At 44.6% G+C, this 27,892-nt stretch overlaps 1 protein-coding gene and 1 pseudogene across 11 annotated transcripts in view, besides 7 other annotated features; one reads left to right on the forward strand and one right to left on the reverse strand.

The window, feature by feature from the left end:
* Positions 1–27,892, forward strand: part of GCNT2 (glucosaminyl (N-acetyl) transferase 2 (I blood group)) — a 108,018-nt gene that overhangs the window by 28,268 nt on the left and 51,858 nt on the right. For 2 of the 11 annotated variants that reach the window (XM_047418632.1, XR_007059235.1), the window contains one exon: positions 6,216–7,724. The exons of 7 other annotated variants lie outside the window; for them this stretch is intronic. In XM_047418632.1, coding sequence (XP_047274588.1) covers positions 6,216–6,340 — 125 coding nt within the window. In that variant the 3' untranslated portion in view covers positions 6,341–7,724. Of the gene's footprint in view, positions 1–6,190; positions 7,725–23,511; positions 23,731–27,892 lie in introns of those variants that run through there. 2 more of the 11 variants (XM_005248997.4, NM_001491.3) reach the window with 2 other exon arrangements.
* Positions 6,108–7,003: an enhancer, noted in NCBI's record as "OCT4-NANOG-H3K27ac-H3K4me1 hESC enhancer chr6:10555959-10556854 (GRCh37/hg19 assembly coordinates)". NCBI's record gives its function as "activates a minimal SCP1, AML or CMV promoter by ChIP-STARR-seq in primed H9 embryonic stem cells {active_cell/tissue: H9 hESC(primed)}" and the evidence as "EXISTENCE:reporter gene assay evidence [ECO:0000049][PMID:30033119]".
* Positions 8,937–9,484: an enhancer, noted in NCBI's record as "OCT4-NANOG hESC enhancer chr6:10558788-10559335 (GRCh37/hg19 assembly coordinates)". NCBI's record gives its function as "activates a minimal SCP1, AML or CMV promoter by ChIP-STARR-seq in naive and primed H9 embryonic stem cells {active_cell/tissue: H9 hESC(naive and primed)}" and the evidence as "EXISTENCE:reporter gene assay evidence [ECO:0000049][PMID:30033119]".
* Positions 9,611–10,365: an enhancer, noted in NCBI's record as "H3K27ac hESC enhancer chr6:10559462-10560216 (GRCh37/hg19 assembly coordinates)". NCBI's record gives its function as "activates a minimal SCP1, AML or CMV promoter by ChIP-STARR-seq in primed H9 embryonic stem cells {active_cell/tissue: H9 hESC(primed)}" and the evidence as "EXISTENCE:reporter gene assay evidence [ECO:0000049][PMID:30033119]".
* Positions 15,102–15,663: an enhancer, noted in NCBI's record as "H3K27ac-H3K4me1 hESC enhancer chr6:10564953-10565514 (GRCh37/hg19 assembly coordinates)". NCBI's record gives its function as "activates a minimal SCP1, AML or CMV promoter by ChIP-STARR-seq in naive H9 embryonic stem cells {active_cell/tissue: H9 hESC(naive)}" and the evidence as "EXISTENCE:reporter gene assay evidence [ECO:0000049][PMID:30033119]".
* Positions 25,094–25,621, reverse strand: RPL21P63 (ribosomal protein L21 pseudogene 63; annotated as a pseudogene).
* Positions 25,424–26,069: an enhancer, noted in NCBI's record as "OCT4-NANOG-H3K27ac hESC enhancer chr6:10575275-10575920 (GRCh37/hg19 assembly coordinates)". NCBI's record gives its function as "activates a minimal SCP1, AML or CMV promoter by ChIP-STARR-seq in naive and primed H9 embryonic stem cells {active_cell/tissue: H9 hESC(naive and primed)}" and the evidence as "EXISTENCE:reporter gene assay evidence [ECO:0000049][PMID:30033119]".
* Positions 26,070–26,715: an enhancer, noted in NCBI's record as "OCT4-NANOG-H3K27ac hESC enhancer chr6:10575921-10576566 (GRCh37/hg19 assembly coordinates)". NCBI's record gives its function as "activates a minimal SCP1, AML or CMV promoter by ChIP-STARR-seq in naive and primed H9 embryonic stem cells {active_cell/tissue: H9 hESC(naive and primed)}" and the evidence as "EXISTENCE:reporter gene assay evidence [ECO:0000049][PMID:30033119]".
* Positions 26,716–27,361: an enhancer, noted in NCBI's record as "NANOG-H3K27ac-H3K4me1 hESC enhancer chr6:10576567-10577212 (GRCh37/hg19 assembly coordinates)". NCBI's record gives its function as "activates a minimal SCP1, AML or CMV promoter by ChIP-STARR-seq in primed H9 embryonic stem cells {active_cell/tissue: H9 hESC(primed)}" and the evidence as "EXISTENCE:reporter gene assay evidence [ECO:0000049][PMID:30033119]".

Here is a 27,892-nt window from a genome sequence, read left to right on the forward strand (position 1 = left end):
TGGAGTGTAGTGGCACAGTCTGGGCTCACTGCAACATCCGCCTCTCAGGCTCAAGCAATTCTCCTGCCTCAGTCTCCCCAGTAGCTCTCTGTCTCTCTTTTAATCCCTTTCCTACACCGTCTTCGAATTCAGCTTATGACCACTACTCAATGCAGCAGTGTTTATTGTTAAATAATTCTGTTCTGTATTTTGTATAATATGGATTGTGCCCAGATGTGGTTGCTGTGTATCGTAATTAGAGATGGTGTTTGGGAGATGACTTGTAACCAAGGTTTCTCTCATTTAAATATAAGCACCAGGTGTTTGTGTATTCATTTTCTCCCACTACTACCACCAATTAGTTTTCCATAGTAAATTTTGCTCTAGTGGTTAGATTGTCCATCATTTGAGTTCATGTTTACTATGTATTTCCAAATTATATAGTAGTTTACCCCAATTTTTTCTGTTTGTTTGAGACGGAGTTTTGCTCTTGTTGCCTAGGCTGGGGTGCAGTGGCGCAATCTGGGCTCACTGAAACCTCTGCTTCCCGGGTTCAAGTAATTCTTCTGTCTCAGCCTCCCGAGTATCTGGGATTACAGGTGCCCACCACCATGCCTGGCTAATTTTTGTATTTTTAGTAGAGGTGGGGTTTCGCCATGTTAGCCAGGCTGGTCTTGAACTCCTTGCCTTGGCCTCCCAAAGTGCTGGGATTATAGGCATGAGCCACTGAGTCCGGCCTAACATTTTTTTTTTCTTACAATATATTAATTATAGGGAAAGTAGAGATAGGGTCATTGAGAAAAAAAAATCGAGTAATTTTGCTCTAGTCCCTTGACTCCCAAACTTTGGTCCTAGGATGAGTGGTTTCAGCTTTATCTGGGACCAAAATGCAAATTATTATTATTATTATTGAGACAGGGTCTTGCTTTGTCACCCAGGCTAGAGTGCAGTGGCACCATCATGGCTTACCGCAGCCTTAACCTGCCAAATTAAAGTGATCTCCCCACCTCAGCCACCCAAGTAGATGGCATGCACCACTGTGCCTGGCTAACTTTTTAATTTTTTTGTAATGACAAGGTCTCACTATGTTGCTCAAGCTGGTCCCAAACTCCTGGGCTCAAGTAATCCTCTCCCTCGGCCTCCCAAAAGTGCTGGGATTGTAGGCGTGAGCCACCACACTTGTCAGAAATGTAAATTATTAAACTCACCTGGAACCTACTGAACTCTTAGGGCAGGGGCCCTGTAACCTGTATTTCTACAGCTCCTCCAGGTGATGAGATGTAAAAGTAAAGTTTGCAAACCACTAATCAGTACTACCCTTATCCTCAAGCTACAGACACACCCAATTTGGCTGATAGTTGTGGAAACCAATGTTTTGGTAATACAATTAATGAGTCAGTCACCCTCCCAGTGTTAAACAATTTCCACAAGTAAATTCAGTGGTAAGTCTCATCTTGAGATGTTCATTGGCCGTGACCTATTTTTGGCAACTTAGTTTTCATTTTCCAAGGCCCCAAATGTCAGGATTTTCATTTTTCCAATTGTTAGATGTATGCTAATAGAAGACTGCCCCTAGCCACATGCGCCTTAACATTTGCCTATTTAAATACTTTGTATACTGTCTTTTGCAAGTATTTGCTTGGCATCATTCAGCATCCAGGAAGTGTTTCCATCATAACTTTGCTGCATCAAAATCAGGTGCAGATTACACCAGCTCACACAGAGATGGCAAGACCACCTCTGGACTTGCCGCCTGGGTCTTTAAAATTCTGCATGTTAAACTTCTTTCCCCGCCTCTGAGATAATTTATTTTTTATTTTTTAATTTTTATTATTTATTATTATTATTAATTTATTTTTTTTTTTTGAGATGGAGTCTCGCTCCGTTGCCCAGGCTGGAGTGCAACGGCACGATTTCGGCTCACAGCAACGTTCGCCTCCCTGATTCAAGCAATTCTCTGCCTCAGCCTCCTGAGTAGCTGGTACTACCGGCGCCCACCACCATGCCTGACTAACTTTTGTATTTTTAGTAGAGACAGGGTTTCACCATCTTGGCCAGGCTGGTCTTGAACTCCTGACCTCGTGATCCACCTGCCTTGGCCTCCCAAAGTGCTGGGATTACGGGCATGAGCCACTGCGCCTGGCTATTTTTTTTTATTTTTTATTTATTCATCTTTTGAGACGCAGTTTCGCTCTTGTCACCCAGGCTGGAGTGCAGTGGCGCCACCTCGGCTCACTGCAACCTCTGTCTCCCAGGTTCAAGCGATTCTCCTGCCTCAGCCTCCCAAGTAGCTGAGATTACAGGTGCCCGCCACCATGCCCAGCTAATTTTTGTATTTTTAGTAGAGATGGGGGTTCCACCATGTTGGCCAGGCTGGTCTCAAACTCCTGACCTCAGGTGATCCACCCATCTTGGCCTCCCAAAGTGCTGGGATTACAGGTGTGAGCTACTGCACCTGGCCTGAGATGAGAATTTAAAATAATGCTTTGGGTTCTGTGATCTAGACAACAATTTCTTTTGTTGCTAATTAGATGAAAGGTATAGAAAGTAAAATGATTGGGCCCCCGGAGAAGCAGGATTTTCCCCAGGGAATCCAACAAATCCAGAGAATGTCTTTGTTACGGGAGGATTGTTGTTTTAGTTAAAGATGTGCTTTGGAAATGTCTTCTTCCTTCATGTTAGTATCATGATCATTATCATGTTAAAAAAAAAAAAAAAATTTACAAACCACCTGGCCACCCAGAGCAGAATTACAGTCAGCACTCTGTTTCCCCAGGTCCTGAATCCTTGGATTCAACCAACCTCAGCACTCTGTTTCCCCAGATCCTGAATCCTTGGATTCGACCTTGGGCGGGGGAAAAAGAGTGGTTGCTTCTGTACTGAATATGTACAGGCTTTTTTTTTTTCTTGGCATTATTCCCTAAGGAATACAGCATAACAACTGTTTACATAGCATTTACATTGTATTCGGTATTATAAGTAATTTAGAGATGATTTAAAGTACAAGAAAGGCTGTGCATAGGTTATATGCAAATACTACATCATGTTATATCAGGGACTTATGCATTTGTGGACTTTGTATCCTCAGAGGTCCTGGAACTCATCCCTGGAACAGGGACGACTGTACTTAATACGCTGTCCAAAATGAATTGGACTGCCAGCATTCTCTACTTTTTCATGTATTACTCTTAGGTCAGGGGAAAAAACAAATCTCTGTATTTTATAATTAAGAATGAATCCCTGAGTCATTTGACTTCTTCAATGACAGAGCAAGCCACGTAAAAATACCCTTCCAAGGAAAGCCATCAGGGAGCCTCAGAATGGGTACAGTTTCACCCCATTTACCTAACCTTTTCTGCCAGTGCAGCTGAGCCTCTCAACGCGACTTTAACAAACTCTCTCTGAGCCAGTCTTCTCAGTGCCATCTTTGCTTTCATTCAACTTTACATGTCTAGTGTTGCTGCTCAAACCTGTGTCCCCTCAAGTCCTTTCCCAACTAAAGGATGGTGGTTAATTGACAATAGACAAACAAGTCTCAGAACAATTATGAGGGTGTAATGAAGTGTGCATTCGTACATGCAATTAAATAGAGGAAAGATGCAGGAGGGAATGTGTACACAATCCTCCTCCAGCTGGCACGCCCTGCCTGGAGGTGCTCCTCCACTGGAAGCCTGTTGTGTGCTCCTCTGGCAAGGAGATGAAGTCCCAGATTTTTAGTGCCTCATGCAAGGTCTTTTCCACCTCCTTCACTAGTTGACTTAGCCTGGCATGTAGCAAACTCTCAGTGTCATCTGCCTCCAACACAGTTTTCCCCAGGTCTTTCGTACCTTGGCCTTCACATGGGAAGCCAAGAGATGCTGAGCACATGGAGGAGGGCAATCTTTTCCCCCTTTGATTATTATTTTTTTAATTCATTGAGATTCTAAGTCCTCTGTCATTTCAAAGAAAGGATACTCTCTTTCCTTTGGAGCTATGTTCTACATATCATCCTAAGTGGAAAAAAATCATTAAATAGGCCGGGCGTGGTGGCTCACGCCTGTAATCCCAGTACTTTGGGAGGCCAAGGTGGGCGGATCGCTTGAGCCCAAGAGTTCAAGACCAGCTTGGCCAACGTGGCGAAATCCCGTCTCTTCTACAAATACAAAAATTAGCTGGGCGTGGTGGCACATGCCTGTAATCCCAGCTACTTGTGAGGCTGAGGCAGGAGGATTGCTTGACCCCAGGAGGTCAAGGCCGCAGTGAGACATGATGGTGCCACTGCACTCCAGCCTGGGTGACAGAGTCAGACACTGCCTCAAAGGAAAAAAACCAAACATACCTCAAATAATGTCTGCAAAATAAAAGACTATGAACGGAATATGGAGAAAGCCTCTAAGATGGCCCCAGGGGAGTGTTAACATGTCTAGCCTGATTAATTGGCTAGTTTGGGAATAATTCTATCCAAAGTGAGTGACAAGGCATGGCTGGCTAGTGTCAACTTTGTCCTCAGCTATAGTTAAAGGCAGGCCTGGAGGGCTGACTTGTTCAGTCTCAGTAGCAAAAAAGTGCATGGTGTCTGGATAAGCAGGTTGTACAGCCTATTAGAAAAGAAAGGTAACAGTCTTCCTCTAATGCAATAAGGGATTTTTTTTAAAGTTCTCCTGTCAAGATTTTTTAATACCAGAATCTGAGAGTGGAGAAAATTGGCCCAAGGACAGACAAAAGAGCTGGGAGGAAAATCGACTATATTTTTCAACACACAATGCCATTTGAAGTACTGGATTGAGTACGGAAGTATTACGAACATTCCTAATTTGGTTAGTGTCTATATTTCTTAATATAGTAATGCTATTAATGTCTGTCTCCTAAGTTTGTATAAATCCAAACCCCCATGTTATTGGCCAGTTGGAAACAATAATGTAAACAGACTCTGTTGCCCAAATTAAGTTATGTGCACCGAATGCTTTGTCAAACTGTAACTATTTTAATGTTCATTCTAAGCCACAAATCTTTGCCAAAGAAGATACTGAATTACTCTCTTTTGTTTAGGAGTAGAATACACAATAACCTAATATTTAAAAGTATTATTCAGAAGAAGAAAAACTTAGGATTGAATTTTTCTTTATCATAAATTTTAGATCATTCTCTTTGCTCGATTCCATAGAAGACACTAAGAATTAGACTGAACTGCTTTCTCATTGTATTGTTTTCTACTTGACCTAAAAATCCAGGGGTGGGTTATATAGAGAGTTTATTTAGGAGACTTTGGTAAGGGAGAGAGAAAAATAATGTACAAGCTGGAAACGCATGAAAAATGTAAACAATGAAAGTTAGAAGAATGGAAGCGACAGTGTGCTCAGGAAATGATGTGTCATTTGGTCGGAGTTCAGGGTGCCCCTGAATCCCAGGAGGGTAGCACTTGCTTTCCTGCCCATTGTGAAGGCAAGGAATCCGCGTGTTGTCCTATCAATTCCATTCATGGCAGGGTAGAGACTTTTCAAATGGAAGAAAATGTGCATTAAAGGACATTCTTTCTGCATGGGGTGGGGTAGTGAACGTGTTGGGGTTGAGGCACGGAGTTGTTTAGGTCAGGTGAATAGTGAGGGGAAATGGGCAGGCAGTCAATGGTTAAGTTGGTGTTTTGCAAGCCATTTTAAGAGGATACCAAATAAAATGCATTAATCTACATTTCATTAAAAATTAGTTGGTGGGAAAGTGGAAAGTTGAAGATGAGAACTTTCCAAGTAAAACAGCTTCATACTCCTTGGCCAGAACACCACTATATTTACAAATAGGGGATAAAAACACCCACTTCCTAGGTGGTCCATAAGCTTAACTGGGCAGGCATATGACACTTCTGAGCATTTGATGCCGTTCTCTGGGGGGGTTAAAGCCTGAATGCCCACCAAATCCCCTGTCTGAGCATCATTTGTGACCAAGATTCAAATTATTTCCCATGAAGCTCTAAGGTCTCATATAACTCAGTGGATGTAGCTCACGACTTCTTCTTTTGACCCCAGTATTCTAAGACAAACACCACAGCCGAAGCTGGAAGTGAGAGGAGAGGGGTTCGTTTCAGAGTCAGGAGCCCAAGGCGCCCCAGCAATTTCAGACCCCCTGGGACAGGAACTCCTCCTCCAGTAAGCTCTTGTTTTGAAAAACAGTGGGGTGGGGCCAAAAAAGCATTACAATGGAGCTGGGATGGATGAGGCTTTCTTTTATTTGAGATGTCACTTGTGTCACGTTTCCTGAAACAGCACGTTGGAAAACAGAAGCTATTTTCTATCCCGTGGGTTGCGCTGGAAGAGCTGAGAGGCCAGGCTGTGGATCCTTGCCACGAACAACAAGAGAGGGCAAGTCCAGCCGCCTGCTAGGGGACTAGCAGGAAGCGGCACGCCTGCCAGAGCTCATCACTTCAACTCTGGCTTTCACTGCGCTCATTCCCTGAATGGCAGTAACCAGGGGGCGGGGGTGGCATGGGAAATGAAAGAAAGAGATATGGGAAACTAAATCTGCCGGGGGAAAGAGAGTTACCGGAGTTTTAGCAAAACAGCTAGCAGATGCAAACGGGGAGGCAGAGGGAGGAGGGAAGGCTGGGCTTCAGCAACCTGCCACGGGGATTTAAACAAAGGAGGTTTGAGAGAGGCGGGATCTGGCTGTAATATCGGCACAGGGACAGAGACAGCAGCTGGACTCTCGGGATGAAACGGAATCGATTCCCAGCGTCTCCAACAGGGCAGGAGTGAGTGGAGTATGTTGCAAAATAAGAACTCAGAGAAACGAGTGAGTTTGGAAAAAAGACTTACAGATTTTGACGGTCTCTTGACATTTCACCCTTCTTTGAGGCATGCCTTTATCAATGCGTTACCTCTTCATAATTTCTGTCTCTAGTGTAATTATTTTTATCGTCTTCTCTGTGTTCAATTTTGGGGGAGATCCAAGCTTCCAAAGGCTAAATATCTCAGACCCTTTGAGGCTGACTCAAGTTTGCACATCTTTTATCAATGGAAAAACACGTTTCCTGTGGAAAAACAAACTAATGATCCATGAGAAGTCTTCTTGCAAGGAATACTTGACCCAGAGCCACTACATCACAGCCCCTTTATCTAAGGAAGAAGCTGACTTTCCCTTGGCATATATAATGGTCATCCATCATCACTTTGACACCTTTGCAAGGCTCTTCAGGGCTATTTACATGCCCCAAAATATCTACTGTGTTCATGTGGATGAAAAAGCAACAACTGAATTTAAAGATGCGGTAGAGCAACTATTAAGCTGCTTCCCAAACGCTTTTCTGGCTTCCAAGATGGAACCCGTTGTCTATGGAGGGATCTCCAGGCTCCAGGCTGACCTGAACTGCATCAGAGATCTTTCTGCCTTCGAGGTCTCATGGAAGTACGTTATCAACACCTGTGGGCAAGACTTCCCCCTGAAAACCAACAAGGAAATAGTTCAGTATCTGAAAGGATTTAAAGGTAAAAATATCACCCCAGGGGTGCTGCCCCCAGCTCATGCAATTGGACGGACTAAATATGTCCACCAAGAGCACCTGGGCAAAGAGCTTTCCTATGTGATAAGAACAACAGCGTTGAAACCGCCTCCCCCCCATAATCTCACAATTTACTTTGGCTCTGCCTATGTGGCTCTATCAAGAGAGTTTGCCAACTTTGTTCTGCATGACCCACGGGCTGTTGATTTGCTCCAGTGGTCCAAGGACACTTTCAGTCCTGATGAGCATTTCTGGGTGACACTCAATAGGATTCCAGGTACGTACAATTCCATATTTCATGCAAAAGAAATGTGTCGTATTTGAAAGGGCTTTAGAATAACCAGCCACTTTTTATTAGGAAGTAGAAGATGAAAACTGGAACATATATAGTTCTCACCCTAGTCCTTTCTAAATGCAGAAAGATGTTCTTTTTTTTTTTTGAGACTGGATCTCACTCTGTGGCCCAGGCTGGAGTGCAGGGGCAACATCATGGCTCACTGAACCCTGGACCTCCTGGGCTCCAGCAATCCTCCCACTTCAGTCTCCTGAGTAGCTGGGACTACAGGTGCACACCACCATACTGGGCTAATTTTTAAAAAAAATTTTGTGCAGACAGGGTCTCGCTATGTTGCCCAGGCTGGTCTCCAACTCCACAGCTCAAGCTATCCTCCCCATCTTGGCCTCCCAAAATGCTGGGATTATAGCCATGAGCCACCATGCCTAGCCCAGAATGATGTTCTTTATGTGATAATTCACATGTTCTAGCACTACTAAGTAATACCTTTCCATGCTATCACTTGGTGGTCCATCAAGTTCTTTTTCACACATCATCTTATTACATCTTTACCACAATAGCTGTTAGTCCACACTGGTGTTCTTTCTTTCCTCTAAATTTGTCAGGCTTGCTCTTACCCCAGGATCTTTGCCTTGGCCACCCTCCTGCCTACTCCAGGCCTCCACAGGCTCCTTCCCCTTAGCCAGATCTCAGCTCTCAGGTGTCAGCAGCTCTGATACTCCCCCTCATTGGCCAGCACACCACTCTGTTTTTCTTTTAAAGAGTTTATTGCCCTGTGGAATTAGGATATTTACCTATTTGCATGGGTTTGTTCTTGGTCTCCTCTGCATTTGTTCCATGAAGCCAGGGTTATTTTCTATCTCATTAACTGCTCCTCAGTGCTTAGAACAGAGAGTAAATGCTCAATAAGTATATATTAGATGAATAAATCAGTGAGTGAGTGAATGAATGGTAAAGCATGAAGCTTTACTATGGCACCAGAGCTGTCTCCCTAAGACATTGTTGAGCTGAGAAATATTTGGACTCATGCATGTACCATATTATATGTGTAGGATTTTTAAAAATACATTTTATTTCAAATAAAATAATGAGATCCTAGCAGAAACTCCTTGCTTTCTCACCCGAATTTTCCTATCTTTACTAATTTACCAGACCGATTGTTTTTTAAAGTGTATAAAACATGATGGGATTTCTTCTGAAGAAAACAGCGTGCTTTGGACTCAATGAAAAATACAAAATGGATCTCTGATGAACTAGACAGCATTATTATAGCAAGAGAAAAGCAATCATTGTTCTGGCTGTTGGGGGATTGCCAAGTTCGAAAGGCTGGTAGGTGCTCTCAGGCTGCAGGGCAGGGCCTGCTGGGCGATAAACACGCCGGCATTCTCTGGAAAATACCATGCCTGGTGTTTGAATCCCAGGGTGACTTTCCTGGTGAATGCGGCTCACTCGTATGCTGCGCACACTGTTTCCGCACCTGCCTCTGCCTGGGTTCATCCTCTCTTCACCTTTGATCTGTTGTTTCCACCATTCGCATATCATTGAGGAGCATTAGGTACTTAGGAGCTGATTTTCATATTTAAATATTTATTCCCTTTCTATTTTCATTCTTTCCTTAAAATTCATAAAAGTTGGGTCCCAGTCAAGTGGTTCCTTAAGTATTGTGCTGAGATGAGGGCATTTCATAAGTTAACAAAAGTCTAAATTGTTGCTTTTTTTTTTTTTTTTTAGAAAAACATGGGTTTTGGTTTCTATTAAATGTAAATATCTGTGGTTATTTTGCCAGAAGCCTGGTCAGTTTTATCAATGTCAAATAATATAAGAAAATCAAGGGAAAAAGAATTCCCCTTTTTTCCTTACCCCTTTCTGATCTCTTGGGAGACCAAAAGAATGATATCTGGATAGGTGTAGGAGAGAATGCTATCTAGATGGGTATAGGAGAGAACGACATCTACATGGGTAGAGGAGAGAATGCTACCTTTTCTTCTCTTTTTTAGGAGAGAGAACACCTTTTTTGCTGTAGGTTTATGCCATGGCATGCTGGCTTCTGCCTTCTCACTGCAACAGTGTGGCCCCATGTAAATCATAGAACCTCATGGGACCTCAAATCTCTCCAGCTACAAAATGGGGAACCCAGGTAGAAAGACCCCTTTCATTCCTACACATACCTTTCTTTGCAGAAGACACAATGCCTAGAACAATGTAAAGACCTCCCACGCTGCTAGTGGGAATCTATAGAGAGAAAGGCAGAAGGGCTGGTGAGCCTGGATCATGTACTGCCCATCAACTTTGGCAAGCGCATCCCATTTCCCTTGCAGGAATTAGAGGCGAGAGCTCCTCCAGAGAGCAACTGCCTGGAGAGGAAGGCCATTGCGGTCCATGTCAGTGGTCTGTCCTGTCTGATTCTGCAAGGGATGCCTTTCAGGATAACGTGCCATGTCCTGGGGCTTTGTTTCTTTCCTTTCTTAGACTCTGGGCAACATCCTGGTTCAGGGAGAAAGGATATCCTGCTTCTAGGTAGGCCTTCACAAATTACAAGTGAATTACAGCAAACAAATCTTCAAATGCTCTAGCCCTAGTAGTGCCTCTCTCTACCTTCAAAGGCAGTGGAAAATCTAATCCCACGCTCGAGTAACTCCCATGGTTTTACACTTGAGCATTCTTTGTGATTTAAGATTTGGCATGTGAATCTGGTTCTTATATAACCACACAGCCGTTAATCAATATCAGCTCTTCTATTTTTTTTGAGACAGAGTCTCACTCTGTAGCCCAGGCTGGAGTGCAGTGGTGCGATCTCGGCTTACTGCAACCTCTGCCTCCCGGGCTCAAGTGATTCTTGTGCCTCAGCCTCCTGAGTAGCTAGGATTATAGGCCCCCACCATCACGCCCGGTTAATTTTTTTGTATTTTAGTAGAGACGGGGTTTCACCATGTTGCCCAGGGGTAGTCTCGAATTCCTGAGCTCAGGCGATCCGCCCACCTCGGCCTCCCAAAGTGCTGGGATTACAGGCATGAGCCACTGCGCCGGGCTGAGCTCTTCTATTTTCAATGTCATGTTTTAAGAGGAAAAATTCTTCTGTCCGTACAGGGTAAACATCTTTTTGCAAACGTGCAAGTGCAGGTGGTGCTGTTCATTTCTTCCCTCAAAGCGACCGCCTCCCTTTCTCCTAAATACCTTAAATTAAAATGTGTTAGCAAGACCCTGTGCAGGCATTTCAGGTTTCCCAAAACACCCCCAAGAGCAATGTGACCGAGAAAATGATTAGTACCTTAGAATTAGATGGTTTCAGAAAACAAAGTGAAAATCGGTTCGAATTGGCGAGACTGAATAGAAGGGATATTCATAGAAGTAGCAGTAAATCACAGAGCTTCACACTGCCTTTTTTTTTTCTTGGTGCCTTTCTACTGAGAGTGACTTCTCTTTTGGTTTTCAACCACTAGGCTCTCTCTACACTGTTAGAAATGGTGATACAACAGGCCAGAAAGAGGTCCTTAGGGGCCCCAGTCTCTCACTCCTTTTCAGGGGAACCAGGTAAAGTGGTTGTCCTTCTCTTCTGTGTGGCTTGTGCACAGATGGGGTGTCTAGCCCCCTCCCTTCTGCTTACATTCTCAAAGGAAATTCTCCAGGACCACAGATTTCTCTGACCCACGTTACAGAGCATCAGGCTGTGACAGCCGTAACTTCTGACTTCCGGTACACCCTTATATTTTCTAACATCTCTGAGCTTTGTAATGATTGCTCTAAGTCACTTTAAGAAAAACCCATGTGCTCTAGCTCTCCCGGCTCTTCTTTCAGAATTTTCTTTTCTTTTTCTTTTTTTTTGAGACAGAGTTTCACTCTTGCCCAGGCTAGAGTGCAATGGCACGATCTTGGCTCACCGCAACCTCCGCCTCCTGGGTTCAAGCGATTCTCCTGCCTCAGCCTCCCAAGTAGCTGGGATTACAGGCATGTGCCACCATGCCTGGCTAATTTTGTATTTTTAGTAGAGACGGGGTTTCTCCGTGTTGGTCAGGCTGGTCTCGAACTCCCGACCTCAGCCGATATGCCCACCTTGGCCTCCCAGAGTGCTGGGATTACAGGTATGAACCACTGTGCCTGGCTTTTGCAGCATTTTCATCTGCCTATCTTCCCCAAGGCAGAGCACCTGAAGCCATTTAATTTTTGCTTTACGCTTTGTGAAATTGTTCAGCATCTACCCAAGTGGCCGCTGGTTGATCTTCTTCCCAGTCCATTCCCATGGCTAGAATGTCTTCTTACACTTCAGGGTGGTTTCGTCTCTAAGGAACAGAGCTACCCCACTCTTTGGCTTCAGCTCCTGTTTTTCCCTCGCTGCACTAAGTGTGCTTTTGGAGTCTTTGCTCATTCATTACTCTGACCTTTCTCATGCCATGATATTTTTCTTCCATAAGAATGTTTTCATTTATTTCGTTTCCTTTTTCCATTTTGTATACGTTTTCCTTTTTTTTTTTCAGGGCCCTTTTGTCAAATTCTCTCAACCTCAGAAGGGATCACATGATCCCATTTCCTCATTTTTTAATTCTAAAAATATCGTGTTTCCTACTTTGATTTATTTTGCTTTTTAAACTGTGACTTTTATTTATATGTGCACATTCTTTGGGAGGGTGTTAGGACTCTTTCGGTTGCAAGTGTCAGAAACTCAACTCAAAGGAGCTTAAACAAGCACCAGAAGTTACCGGGTCACACATCTGAGATGCCCAAGGGAGCTCCCAATCAAGCTGGATCAGCGAGTCAAACCGTGTGCTCAGGACCCTTTCTTGCTAGGTCATCTCCCTGTGGGGAGACCAACTGTCCCAGTTTGCCCAGGTCTGAGGGGCAGTCCTGGGCATGGGACCTTGATGGGTACAACCAGGTCGAGATGGTCCCCCTATCTCTCTGCATCTCTGTGCTGGCTTCCATCAGGCAAATTCTCCCCAGAAAGCCAGAAGTAGCTCCAAGTGTACTTGCTTTTCACAGTGGTTACTCCTGGGGGACAAGAAATACTTTTTCCTGAGAGTTCCAGCGGCAGCTTAAGGGAGACCTCAGATTGGCCCTGCTTGGTCCAAATTCCCATCCCTGGTTGGGCACGGTGGCTCACACCGGTAGTCCCAGCACTTTTTGAGGCCCAGGCGGGAGGATCCCTTGAGCCCAAGAGTTTGAGACCAGCCTGGGCAACAAAGCAAGACCCTGTCTCTACAAAAAATAAATTATTCACCAGGCATGGTGGTGTGCGCCTGTACTTCCAGCCACTCAGGAGACCAAGGCAGAAGGATCACTTGACAGAGTCAGAACTTCTCTGAAAAAAAAAAAAAAAAAAAAACAAAAAAAAACCCACAAAAACAAATTCCTATCCATAAACAAATCACAGGGGTGAAGAATGCTCACCAACATTTCTTGGGTCCCTTTTCTACCCTGAAGCCAAGGGCTGGGGACAGGCTTTGGTGGAGGAGGCTGCTCAGGGTGACGCTGGGCAGAGCAAAGCACAGGCCCACTGCAGGACACCCTTTGTCCTACACTGGGTGGCAGGGTGGGTTAAGGGTTGTTAACAAGCAGCACTTTGGGAGACTGAGGTGGGTGGATCACCAGAAGTCGGGAGTTCGAGATCAGCCTGGCTAACATGGTGAAACCCTACCTCTACTAAATATACAGAATTAGTTGGGTGTGGTGCACGCCTGTAATCCCAGCTACTCCAGAGGCTGAGGCAGGAGAATCACTTGAACCCGGGAGGCAGAGGTTGCAGTGAATTGAGATCATGCCACTGAACTCCAGCCTGGGCAACAGAGTGAGACTCGGTCTCCAAGAAAATAAACAAATAAGCACATCCCTCCTGTGATATTAGAGGGGCAAGATTTAGTTTTATACATATGGGTGTGTGAGTGGATACAACATTAACCATTTGTACAATTTTAACTGACCTAACCGTACCCTTTTCTCTCATAAAAACATGTTCAATAATAATGTCACTCTATTATATTTGGACAATGCTTAATTTGCAAGGGAAATTTCTTACACATTATCTCCTTTAATTCTTATAAAACCCCATAAGAAGGGGACTGTTCCCATTTTACAGATGAGAAAGTTTAAGATGAAAATATGTGACTTAGCTGGGCGTGGTGGCTCACGCCTATAATCCCAGTAGTTTGGGAGGCTGAGGCCTGTGGATCACCTGAGGTCAAGAGTTCGAGACCACCCTGGCCAACATGGTGAAATGCCTTCTCTACTAAAAATACAAAAATTAGCCTGGCGTGGTGGCAGGACCCTGTAATCCCAGCTACTTGGGAGGCTGAGGCAGGAGAATCGCTTGAACCCAGGAGGCGGAGCTTGCAGTGAGCCGAGATTGTACCACTATGTTCCAGCCTGGGTGACAGAGTGAGACTCCATCTCAAAAAAAGAAAAAAGAAAAAAAAAAAAAAAAAAAAAATATATATATATATATATATATATATATATATGACTTGTCCAAAGACAAATATTGCATATGCTTAACAAGAAATCAAAATAAAAAGAAACATCCAAGGGAAGGAGGTAGCACATGTTATCCGCTTATTTTAAATTGAACCCAGTTTAATGAATTCTTCATTGAATGATTGCAATTACTGCGAATATTCTGAAGATGAAACTTAGCTAATTCTAAGTCTTATTCAGCTTGCGGAATGGTTATATAATTAGACCCACTCAAAAACTTTCTCTTTCATCCTGATATTCAGCCCATTTTCCTGGAGATTTTGGCTTTTTCATGTGAGCAGAGGTGCAGGAAAGATGAAGGCAATTAATGTTTACTGAACATGTGCCTATGGGTTTAGAGTATCTCAGTTGAATCTCCACAAGAATCCCATCCAGTGGGTACTTAAATCCACATTTTGCAAATATGAAGACGGGACCAGAGGGGCTGAGTAATGTGCCCTGTTCCAAAAGCAGGAAGCAGAGTAGAGAATGTGTGTGGCGGGCCCCTCAAATTCTACATGCTCTGAACTAAACTCAGACTCTCCCCTTTGCAAGTCTCTGAATTTGACACCATTCTCTGTTAGCTCAGACCTGCGGGCTGGTCTCCCTTAGCTCTCCCTACCCTCATCCCTGCTGATCTGGCTCTTCCTGGAGTGTAGAAGTCAAGGGCTCAGGCTCCAGAGTCAGAGAGAACCAGGTTGGACTCCTGGCTCCTCCATCACCAGCCATGTATCCCCCGACATCTGTCAACCTTGGTCTTAGCATTGCAATATGGCACAGATGGCAGAAGCCTGGACCCTGCAGCCAGATGGCCTGAATGTGAATCCCGGCTCTGTCACTTAGAAGTTGTGTGACCTCGGACAAAGTACCTGACTTTTGTGTCTCAGTGACTTCATCTGTAAAATGGGACAATAATAATAGATATCAAATATGTAAGGTCTAAATGAGTTATTGTTATTGTATTTTCATCTATAAGATGGATATTCATTTAATAAATATTTATGGAGCAACCAGACACTTTGCTGGGTACTGAGAAATAGTAGTGAATGAGACACATAAGGCCCCTACCTCATGGAGGATACATTTTAGAAGGAAGAGACAGCCAATAAATAGTAGAGAGAGAGAAGCCAGATCATTAGAGTTGATGAGAAATGCTATGAGGGAAATACACAGGGAGCAACCTACTGTAGATGAAATGGGACAGGAAGGCTTCTTGGCAATGGTAGCACATGAACTGCCTCCCAAAATGAGAGTGAGCCAGCCACGCACTTGTGAAAGAGGTCCCAGGCAGAGGGAATAGGGATCGCAAAGGTCGTGGGTGAGCCTGGTGTCTGCAGAGCCAGAAAAGCAGCCCGTGTGGCCATAGCCGAGCGAACGAGGATGAGAGCTGGACTGAGCATGAGGCAGGCAGTGCATGAACCACACAGGCCCTTGCAGGAGGCCAGAGAAAAACAGATCTGACAGTGCCCTGCTTGTGGGCAAGTGCTGGGCACAGAATAAACACTCAGCAAAATGGATCTTGCCACAGGCCTGTTTTCTGTGGAGTCCTAATTAGGGAAAAGGAGTCAAGCTGGTGGGATCAAGGGAAAGCAGAGGGAAAGCAGATAAGCTGCAAGTCCGCCTTTCTTCATGGTCCAGGACACAACCTCCTGAGCCAATAATTCACGATTTTCCCACGACCAGCTATCACCAGACACCTGCAGATTAGCTCCCCGCAACCTTGGCATTGTCAGTACTGCACAAAGCTCTCTTCAGCATGAACACTACCCTATAAAATCTCCAGCAAGGCTTTGTTTCTTTGCAGTCAGCTTCTGCTGGCCTGCCCGTTGCCTTTTCGCAATGTATCTTCCTACTTTCTTGAAGAAATCTACCTTTCTCTACCTACAACAGTCTTGGTAAATTCTTCCTGGTAAATTCTTTTCCCCCCACACCACCGGCCAAGATAGTATCGCTCCCCCGTGACACGTTCCACTTCTGGCGCCGTCGTCTACCCTTCTTCTTTCTCTTAAAGTTGTATAATTTCTTCCTAACTAGTTTCCCTGTTCCGTGCTTTAATCCATCCTCCACAGTGACAGGATGGCCTTTGTAACATGCACCCATGATCATGCGATCACATCCCTCTCCTCCTTAGAAGCTGTGTATGGATTCCCTTCCCCTACGGTGTATGGATAGCATCCCAGCACCTTCACCAAACACAGAGAGCTCCTCGAGATCTGGCCCCCTTGGCCTTTCCAGTGACTTCTCTAGCTGCGCCCTTCCCCAGATAACTTGCGGATCCCTGTTCTGCCACTCCCAGCCTTCCTGCCCTGACGCATGCAGTCCCTCTCCCGGGAGGCTCCCGGATGCTCTTCCTCCCTATCCTGCATCTGATTGATGTGTGCTTTTTTTTTTTTTTAATTCAGCTTAGAGTCACACTCTGTAAAATTCTTTTCCTGATTCTCACTCATCTGGACTCCCGTACAACGTTGTACTATTATTGGTCTTTTTATTTTTAATCTTTAAAAAAATTTTTAGGAGACAAGGCCTGGCTCTGTGACCCAGGCTGGAGTGCAGTGATACCATCATGGCTCACTGAAGCCTTGACCTCCTAGGCTCAGGCAGTTCTCCTGCCTCTGCCTCCCGAGTAGTTGGGACTTTAGGTGCCACCATGCCCAGCTAATTTTTAAAATCTTTATAGAGATAGAATTTCACTGTGTTGCCTAAGCTGATCTTGAACTCCTGGCCTCAAGTGATCCTCCTGCCTTGGCCTCCCAAAGCGTTGGGATTATAGGCATGAGCCACTGCGCCCAACCATATCAGTTTTGCAGTGCTGTGTTGTATATTCCTAGTGACCTTTTAGAATAGGCTTCAAGGGCAGCAGCTGCACGGGCCTATTTCTGTTTACACTTAGCATACCTCGGGCACATGAGCAGTACTCAAGATGATGGAGTCCCAACTTATATTTGTTTAACCTACACAGACTTAATTAAATGCATGCACACATGTACGCTTGTGCACGCACACGTTTTATATGGGTTTAAATGGTGTTGGCCATGCTACTCTGCCCTTCATTTTACCCAATGAGTGGGGTCCAGAGTAAGCCAAGGAGTCTGCTCATTCTCTTGATGGAGTTTGCTTCCCAAGGCTCACTAATGTTAAAGGACTGTATATGTCTATCTCATAACATAGCTCGTCTGCTCAAACGAACTTCTTCATCTAGTGCTCATTAGAAGAAACAACCATCTGGACCAAGATTAAAGAGAAGGCTAGACTTATGCCTATAATCCCAGCACTTTGGGAGGCCAAGGCAGGAGGATCACTTGAGCCCAAGAGTTCAAGATAAGCCTGGGCAACATAGTGAGACCACATCTCAACAAAAAAATAATAAAATGAAATTGGCCAAGTCTGGTGACACACACCTGTATTCCCAGCTACTCAGGAGGCTAAGGTGGAAAGATCACTTGGCCCCAGGAGTTGGAGACCAGCCTGGGCAACACAGTGACTCATCTCTACAAAATATACAAAAATCAGCTGGGCATGGTGGCACATGTCTGTGGTACCAGCTACTTGGGAGGCTGAGGTGGGAGGGTCACTTGAGCCCCAGAGATGAAGGCTGCAATGAGCTAGGATGGCGCCACTGCATTCCAGCCCTGGCAACAGAGCAAGATGCTATCTCAAAGAAAAAGAAAAAAGATGAAAGGGAAGACTGACCATGTTGGAATGTGGTGCATTCCTAAGGGATATCTCTAGAGGAATATTAACTTTTAGGCCTTTTTCCCTTTACTCATTGACTCTGCAACCTCACCTCTGTGTAAGATGTATAGCTACTGTACATATTTCTTGGATGTATTGAACAGCTAATAATTGCCAGAGCCAGGGCACAAATTGATCTCTTCTTACTTCTAATCCAGTCCTCTGTCTCCTGTCCACAATGCAATGTATAGAATCGATCTTTTCTGGAAGTTGTTACTGAGAAAGGCAGATAGGGTTAAAAGTGCTAGCAAGAGAATTATCAAAGACGGAAGCCAGCAAAATTTATCATGGAGTTTTGACTTTGCCCTCGAACTCTCAGCCGAAACCTCAAGATAATGAAAAGGTGATCACTTTGCCAATGATAAATGGATTTTATAATCCCTCACTGAGAAAGTTGAATGTAAATGAAGAGCTCTGTTCTTTTCATCTTCTTGCTTACTGACTATTGAAATGAGACTTAGCTATCGGTGGAATTTTGGAGCTACTATTCTCAGTGAAATTCAGAATTCGAGAAATGTTTTCAGGAAACATCCTCCTCAGTTCTTGCCTCAGTTTACTTCGTGGCTCTTGCAGTTCTTTCCCCCTTTGTGATCTCATTTACATCTGCAGTTTCTCACCACCACCTCAGTACTGACCATTCACTTCCCTGTAGTGAGCTCCCAGGCCTTCTGCCACATCTCCTTGTTTTTTGGATATCTCTTCTCGAAGCTTCCACGAGTGCCTGCTGACATCTCCCTACTCCCCACACACCCAGCTTTCCACTCACAGTCTCTGTGGTATGGCCATCCTTCAAGTCAGCCAACTTCCCCACTTCTGGTACCCCAGGATCCAGCCAGCACATTCCATACGTTTTGTCTGTGAGAGTTTTCTAGCAAGTTCTACCCTTCCTGTTTTCATCATTACTGTTCTTAACTCTGGCCCATCACACCTGTCAAGCAGACTATTGTCGGACCCACTCCAAGTGGTCTCTCTGGCCCGAGTCTCCCTCTTCAAACCATTCTAACACTCTTAACATATTTTGCTTCTTAAGACATAGCTCTAAGAAAAACGTTTTCTCAATTCCAAAAGCTTCAGTGAGTGTCAACAACTTATTGAATTATTCAGTATAGACATCTCAACATGGCAGGTTGGATGTCAAAATCTCCCTGTTGGAGATCCCCTCAGTATTACCTGTGTTACCCCACCGTCAACTCCCATTGCTGCCTTCCCTGAAAGGAACCCTTCAGAAAAATTACCATGCCTGTAATCCTGCCATAGGTCCTTTTCTTCATGTCACCCTCTCTGTTTGTGCCATTGCCTTCCATCTCTCCATTTAAATAATGGCCTTGTTTAATGGTATGTCATTCAATGGTAACACATCATGTCATTGGTGTGTCATTTAGGAAGCTTTTTCTGGTCTTATTTTTTCCCAATTTTATACCTTTATAAACCTCTGTTGTAATGCTTTTATGTCATTCTAGAATCTCTGCATTATCATTATTAATGTGAATATCGTATTACCGCGACTAGACTATAATGTCTTTGAGGTCTTTTGTATTTTTGGCAGTCCAGCATAGTGAGCATTCAGTGGGCTGACAGGAAATATTTATTGAATTGAGTCAAATGGAAATAATTTTAGGATGTTGGTGCCCCTCAGCACTGCTGCCTAGTCAACTTCAAATCATTACCACTTGCATCACCCCCTGCCACCCACTCCCCCCGCCACACACACACACACACACACACACACACACACACACACCCCCTAGGTAATTTTGCCAAATCCTGAAGGGTCAACTTCAAACAGTATCTTTCAGCCATGTTTTCTGAGACAGGGTCTCACTCCATCTACCAGGCTGGATTGCAGTGTGTGATCTTGGCTCACCGCAGCCTCAAACTCCTGGGCTCAAGCTGTTCTCCCACCTCAGCCTCCCAAGTAGCTGGGATTATAAGCATGAGCCACTGCACCTGGCCCATGTTCAATTTTTCTTTGACGTTTCCTAAATGCTCCTCTGTTCTTGGGCAACAGCAATGAGACAGTTCTCTTCCACTCAGTTTTTCCAAAGCATCCTGCTTATTTTGGGAATGCTTCTCATGCTGAGCCCAGCCTGGGGGCAGCATCTGCTCCAGACAGGCTGTTCTTCAACCCAAGGTCCAACCACCATCATAGTGGACCATTTGCAGTCTCAGCTATGCCCTAAGCAAAAATATGTTAACTGCTCTTCTAACTAACCATTTCTCAGTGTAGTTTTTCCATGCTAGGACTACTCATAAACCTGTCTTTCTCTTACCCTCTGAGCTCATATGGATTTCTTCCTTCCTTCCTTCCTTCCTTTCTCTTTCTTTCTCTTTCTTTCTTTCTTTCTCTTTCTTTTTCTTTCTTTCCTTCCTTCCTTTTTCCTTCCTTCCTTTCTCTCTCTCTTCCTTCCTTCCTTCTTCCTTCCTTCCTTCCTTTCTTTCTCTCTTTCTTTCTTCCTGACAGAGTTGCACTCTGTCACCCAGGCTGGAGTGCATGGCGTGATCACGGCTCACAGCAGCCTCAACCTACCAGGCTCATGCGTTCCTCCCATGCACCACCATGCCCAGCTAATTTTGTAATTTTTGTAGATATGGGGTTTTGCCATGTTACTCAGGCTGGTCTTGAACTCCTGGACTCAAGTGATTCACCTGTCTCAGCCTCCCAAAGTGTCGGGATTACAGGCATTAGCCACGGCACCCAGCATGTGGCATTCTTTCTTAAGTGCTTCTAGACAAAGCAATAAGTGGCAGAAGGCTTTCCCCAAATCCATTTACCTTGTGTCTCCTTTTGACACCACATTTCTGGAGAATGGATGGATGGGAGTTGGGCTTTCGAAACTTTGCCCTTCAGCTCTGTACTTTTGTGAAATGTATTCTCCCATAATCTTCCTCCTCAGCCAGGTTTAAAAGATCAGAACTTAACTGTGAAAATATTGGAGGATACAACTTCAGTCTTTCCCGAGTAAGCTGGAGATACTCATGTCATACTGATAAATTTAGCTTCGTGCTACCATCAGCCCTCTCTTCTGGACATTTCCTGGTTCATTTTCTTTCTAGCCATCTCCTTCCTTAGACCCAATCTTCACATAACTCTTCCTTCACTGAAAATCTAATTCTGCACTTGGTCCAAGTCTGAGCTCCTCCTTCAAGCTCTTTGGGGGGCCTACTGAAAAAGGCCCTCCTGCCTTAGAGTCCAAATCCCCTCTTGTGTCCTATGTGAAAACTACTGTCCCCAAGACCCTGAAGTCCTTGCTATGTTTTGGGCCATGTCCTAGAGAGGCTGAACTTGTCTCTGTCTGGTTTCTTCTCTCCCAGGATTTTGGTCTGTTGGAGTTAACCGGCTTCCTCCCCACTTCTAAGCCTTGTAGATTTATCTCTGGTCCATTATCCTACCACTTTATGGACTTTCTTTGTCAGGTACTCAGTCTAAACCAAGCCTCTCAGGTACAGTTTTCCCATAAAAACAGCCTCCTCTTTATTCTATGCTGAATCTAAAATAATGACAGCGTTTAGAACCACAAGCGGCCTTAGAGAACATCCTCTAATCCTAGTTATACAAATTTGGAGATTGTGAGCCAGAGAGATCAAGTGGCTGGCTGATTGTCCTGCTCCTTAAAATGAGTTTACATTTTTTAGCCTCACTGCCTATTTCTTATAAAGCTTAGAATGAGCATTCCATCCCTACAATCCCATATGTTTCTATTAATCCCACCCCATACGGAAAGAAGATCTCTCAAGTTACACGTGGTATAGAGGGAAGGGAGTTTAGAAACTGTAATGCTATAGTAGAAATTATGATGATGATCATGATAATTATTATTATTATTATTTTTTGAGACAGAGTCCCGCTCTTGTTACCCAGGCTGGATGGAGTGCAATGGTGCAATCTCAGCTCACTGCAACCTCCGCCTCCCAGGTTCAAGCAATTCTCCCTGCCTCAGCCTCCCGAGTAACTAGGATTACAGGCGCCTACCAATATGCCCGGCAAATTTTTGTATTTTTAGTAGAGATGGGGTTTCACCATGTTGGCCGGACTGGTCTTGAACTCCTGACCTCAGGTGACCCACCCACCTCAGCCTCCCAAAGTGCTGGGATTACAGGTGTGTGCCACCGCACCAAGCCCTATAGTAGAAATTATTATCTCTTCATGTTCTCCCATTATTGTTTGTTACTAAAACCTTCCTATATCCACTGGAAAACATCTGTGTAGTTGGTATAATTTAAATGCGTTCTTTTGGGTTCACTGTAAAGCCATCCCATGAATATTAATCACTTGTCCCCATGCCTCAGTGGTTCACGGAAATGTGAAGAAGGATCACGCAGAGATTTTCTGCACTATAGACTTAGTGATGATTTGCACGCCTGCCCCCTCCACACCCCCTGAGATAATGATTTGAATGTTTCTTTTCCTTTCACACTGATAGTTATTGTATGTCCCTAATCAGTAATACCTTCAGTAGTAATTGTCTATCTGGGAGTGGTTAGGACTGATGCTATCTAGAGTGAACAATTCTCCCTGGTCTGCCAAAGCTTCTCTAGCTCTAGTACTGAAATCCCGTGTTCTGGGAAACCCCTCAGCTCTGGGCAAGCCGGGACAGTTGGTCACCCTGAGCACCTCCCACCCCATTCCTGCTCACCTTTCCATGTCAGGATGAAGAATTCAGTGCCCAAAATATTTATGTTCCGCAGAACTGCACTGATCAATAACCTGGAAAAAAAATGATCCTTGAAACCACTCATTTATGTAGGTTACAACATATTGAAGGGTAAAAATCAAAGCTACAATATTAGCCCTGAAGACCCCAACCAAAGTGAACCTGGACTGGACCTATTCCATTTATAACGCTTTTCCCATTGTTTTTGAGGAGAGAGTATAGAGTTTAAGGATGTCATCTAAAAGGATAGATGGCAGGCCGGGCGCTGTGGCTCACGCCTGTAATCCCAGCACTTTGGGAGGTCAAGGAGGCCAAGGCAGGCGGATCATGAAGTCAGGAGATCGAGACCATCCTGGCCAACATGGTGAAATCCCATCTCTACTAAAAATACAAAAAAAATTAGCCGGACCTAGTGGCGGGCGCCTGTAGTCCCAGCTACTCAGGAGGCTGAGTCAGGAGAATGGCGTGAACCCAGGAGGCGGAGCTTGCAGTGAGCTGAGATTGTGCCACTGCACTCCAGCCTGGATGACAGAGCGAGACTCCGTCTCAAAAAAAAATAAAAATAAAAATAAAAAATAAAAGGATAGATGGCTAAATATAAAATGTGAACTTAAAACTACGTTACCCAGTGAGAGCATCAAATGCAAAAATTGTCTCCAGTTAGGTACAAACACAGGATGTATCTTGGAGGCAAATTTATTCCTGATTTAATTTCTAGGAAAGCAGAAGAAACGTCTGCTTTTTGGGATCTATCCAAGCCCTCTGCCCTAACAAACGGTCTAAACTCAGGCAAATGGCCGGCTCTGTGGGAAAGGAGCTAGTATAAGAGTGGATTGAATAAACTGAAAATGAGTCCAGAATTTAATAAGGCTATTAAAATTAGAAGTTGCAAGAAATCACTGCCTATCTCTATTTTAAGACTTTTGTTTCCATTTATTTGAAAGTGTTCGGAAGATATAAAGGATGGGATGTTCTAGATATGGATCTCTGGCAGCAGCTGGATTGTCAAATAGTGTCTCTTGGAACTTCTCAACTTCTTTTTCCTCGGATGCGACATTCGGAATCAGAGAAAAGTTGTTGTGCAGAAAGACAAATAGTTACCTACGCTGTTCCTTGAAACTTAACAGAATATAGTCAAAGATAAAGTTTTCATTTGTGGGTTTTATTGTTGTTGTTATCTTTGCTTGGGCATTTAGTGTTAACAGCTGGGCAGTTAACACCAGAAGGGAAAGAAATTTTGTCTCCCAGTGGGGTTGCTAGGGAAGTAGAGAAAAGCAGTGTGTCCCTGGAAGAGCAAGGTAAGTTGGGGTGGGGGCAGGTAGTGTCACAGACAGAGAAGCCATAGCAAGCTTCTTCGATTTACTTTCCACCACTTGGATAGGCTTTCTACTACTGCCTTTTAAAAATTGGAAAGCTAAGGCACAGTAATTTTTAGAAGCTTTCTCAGGGACCCTTAGCAAACAGCAGGGCCAGGTTTAAATGTGGTCTTCAACTGAAAAGCAGTGGTCTTCACCACCATGCCGCATATTGACCCCATCGTTAGCTTTTTGCAGGTGCACCAGCAGGCCAGCTCACTGGAGTAACCAAGTCAGATGCAGTGTCAAAGCCCAGGCTGCAATTGGGAATGAAAGGCAGTTCCCCCACACTGGGCTGAGACTGCCCGTGACAATGGTGGCCTTGAGGGCTTCTGCCTATGCTTCGGGATATTTCAGGTGGCAGAAGCACCCCTGCACACACAGCCATGCTGCTTCACTAAACCTACCCTGTAAGGTGGTCAGGGTGCTCAGGGGCCCAGATGAGCCAGGTTTGGCAACAGAGAGAAATGTCTTGAGATTTGTCACGTACTAATTACATGCAAGGCATTGTTCTAAACTCTTTTTATATACTAGCCTATTTCAATCTCTTAAGAACCCTATGGGGTCAGCGTTCTTAATGTCTCCATTCTGTAGAAGAAGAAAGGAAACGGGGGCACGCAGAGGGGCTCTGCAGCCTGCCATAAATGGTGGCATCTGACTGCCCTGGCATATCTCGGACTGGCCAAGAGAAGCTTGTCCACTCATGGGTTCCTTGTTACCTCCACCAGAAACCAGTTTCGGTGGGCATCAGGACAACATATATGCATGTGCTTATATACCTACCAACCTCTTTAACTCTCACCGCCTTGTGAGGTAGTTTCTATTACCTTCATTTTACAGAAAAGAAAACTGAGGCTATGAGTGTAAATTACTTGCCTACATTCTCTACAAATCCACCCCTTTGCACTGCAACCCAGATGGCACATATAAAGGGGGTGTGGGTAGAAGGATGCTCAACATTATTATTTTCCCTCATTTCACACTTCCTCATCTGGAAAAACACAGAAATTATAGGTGATTGTAAAGATCCCAAAATTGCAAAATTTAGGATGGGGGGAGCATGATTATAATCTAGAGCAGAGATCAGTGAACTATAGACCATGGGCTAAATCTGCCTATTTTGGTACTGCCCTTGAGCCAAGAATGTTTTTTGTTTGTTTGTTTGTTTTACAGTCTAGAGGTCTTTTATTTTTTTTTAACACCTATGATGCCATGAATTCGTAGGGAAGAGGTTCCAGCAGCTCAGCCTCCTTCCCACTGGCTCTCATAAAGTGTGCTACTCTGGGTGGAGCAGGCTGGCGCTTCAGTTGAACCCAGGCACCTTTCTCTTTGTCTTCTTTCTTTTTCTGATCGTTTTTCTTCAAGCGTTTCAGGAAGCTAGCTCGGCTCTTAGAGTGCTTAATGTGCTCAATACACACATTAATTCTCTTGGCAAGAATCTTGCCCTTAACTTGTTTGTTTACAACAATGCCAACGGCATGCTGGGGAACACTGCAGACTCTTCCCATTTAGCCATGGTAACACTTGGGGGTGTTCCTTTTTGAACAGTACCCATTCCCTTGATGCCTGCAATGTCACCTTTCTTATAGATTCACATATACGTGGCCAAAGGAACAACTCCATGTTTTCTAAAAGGCTTAGAGAACATACATTGGGTGCCTCTCCTCTTTTCCTTTGTGTTCGTCATCTTGGCAAATTAATTTTTATGTGATGAATTAAATCCTCTTTCTTGTCAACCAAATTTTCCGTGATAGTGTATCTCATACAGTGTCTGTTTAACTGGAAGATGGTAGTTCTGGCCAAAAGGCTGGGTTGACATTTTTTTTTTTTTTTTTTTGGAGATGGAGTTTCACTCTTGTCCTCCAGGCTGGAGTGCAATGGCGCGTTCTCAGCTCACTGCATCCTCCGACTCTTGGGTTCAAGAGATTCTCCTGCCTCAGCCTCCCAAGTAGCTAGGATTACAGGTGCCTGCCACCACGCCCAGCTAATTTTTTTGTATTTTTAGTGGAGATGGGTGTCAGGCCTCTGAGCCCAAGCCAAGCCATCACATCCCCTGTGACTTGCACGTATATGCCCAGATGGCCTGAAGTAACTGAAGAATCACAAAAGAAGTGAATATGCCTTGCCCCACCTTTAACTGATGACATTCCACCACAAAAGAAGTGTAAATGGCCAGTCCTTGCCTTAACTGATGACATTCCACCACAAAAGTGTAAATGGCCGGTCCTTGCCTTGAGTGATGACATTACCTTGTGAAAGTCCTTTTCCTGGCTCGTCCTGGCTCAAAAAGCTCCCCCACTGAGCACCTTGCGACCCCCACTCCTGCCCGCCAGAGAACAAACCCCCTTTGACTGTAATTTTCCTTTACCTACCCAAATCTTATAAAACGGCCCCACCCCATCTCCCTTTGCTGACTCTCTTTTCAGACTCAGCCCGCCTGCACCCAGGTGAAATAAACAGCCATGTTGCTCACACAAAGCCTGTTTGGTGGTCTCTTCACACGGACGTGCATGAAAACGGGGTTTCACCATGTTGTCCAGGCTGGTCTCGAACTCCTGACCTCAGGTGATCTGCCTGCCTTGGCCTCCCAAAGTGCTGGAATTACAGGCGTGAGCCACCACGCCCTGCCACATTTTCAAATGATTGAAAAAATATCAAAAGAAACAACTTCGTGACATGAAGAGTTGTAGGAAATTCAGATTTCAGGATCCATAAAGAAGGTTTTATTAGGACACAGCCATGCATTGTTATGGCTATTTTCGCACCTCAACAGCAGGGTTGAGTTGTTGCAACAGAGACCTAGTGAATGGCCCACAGCTTTAAATACCTACTACACAGCCCTGTGCAGAAGAAACACTGATGCCTGAAGTAGAATCACATGGCAAACATATTTGCCTCACGTTATCTGAGGAAACAGTTTGGTCGTAATCGTGAGTTTCCTAGATAATTGAAGCCTTCCCTTTTGTGCACAGAATAGTTAATTAAAAAAACAAAAATCTATTCAAGGAGGCTGGAATTCAGGATCCAGAGGAAGAAGCATTTGAGAGTGGAATGGAAAGACTTAGGGGGAGGTAGGAGGAATGGGTTGGGGAGTTCCAGGATGAAAGAGGGCTTTTCAATAGGACAGAGACAGAAAGAGATTTGGGGAGAGAGAGAGACACACACATAGAAAGAAGAACCAGGATTCAGAGATCATTGCAATCAGAAAAGAGGAAAAAGTGTTGTAAGCAGGAGCTCAGAAGCACTCAAGAAGCCGGATACAGTGGCTCAAGCCTGTAATCCCATCACTTTAGGAGGCCGAGGCTGGAGGATCACTTGAGGCCAAGAGTTCAAGACCAGCCTGGGCAAAATAGCTAGACTCCATGTCTAAAAATAATAACAATAATAATAATAATAATAAAATTAGCCAAGTGCCTGTAGTCTCAGCTACAGGAGGCTGAAGTGGAAGAATCTCTTGAGCTCAGGAGTTCAAGGCTGCAGTGAGCTATGCTCTCACCGTTGCACTCCAGCCTGGGTGATAGAGCGAGATCTCATCTTTAAAAAATTAAATGAAAATGAAAAATAGAAAAGAAGCACTCAGGAGGCTGGTGAGAATTGGGCGTGTGTGACTTTGGCCTAGCAACTTTACCTCCCTGAGGCTTTCTTGCACATCAAATGGAGAGAAATCACACCTCGCCCAAGGGGGCTGCTGTGCAGTGTGAGGGGGGAGGTGACAGCCATGTAGGGCAGGGGGTGGGCTCTGCACTCAGACGCCTCCCGCGGCTCCTGGAGTTGCCTCCTCTCATCCCAGGCAAGTGACTACATTCCCTACCTTCGGGAGCTCAGCCACAAAGTGAGCAGAGTGGGATCTGTCACCCTGGGAAATTGGCAAGATGCTACCTCCTTCCTGATAGGTCACCGAGCAGTCTGCCCAGAGCCCCAGGAGCAGAAGTGCTCATGGGCCAAGTTAAGGGGCTCGAATTCCATGGTT

This window comes from Homo sapiens, chromosome 6, assembly GCF_000001405.40.
Source record: "Homo sapiens chromosome 6, GRCh38.p14 Primary Assembly".
NCBI lineage: Eukaryota > Metazoa > Chordata > Mammalia > Primates > Hominidae > Homo > Homo sapiens.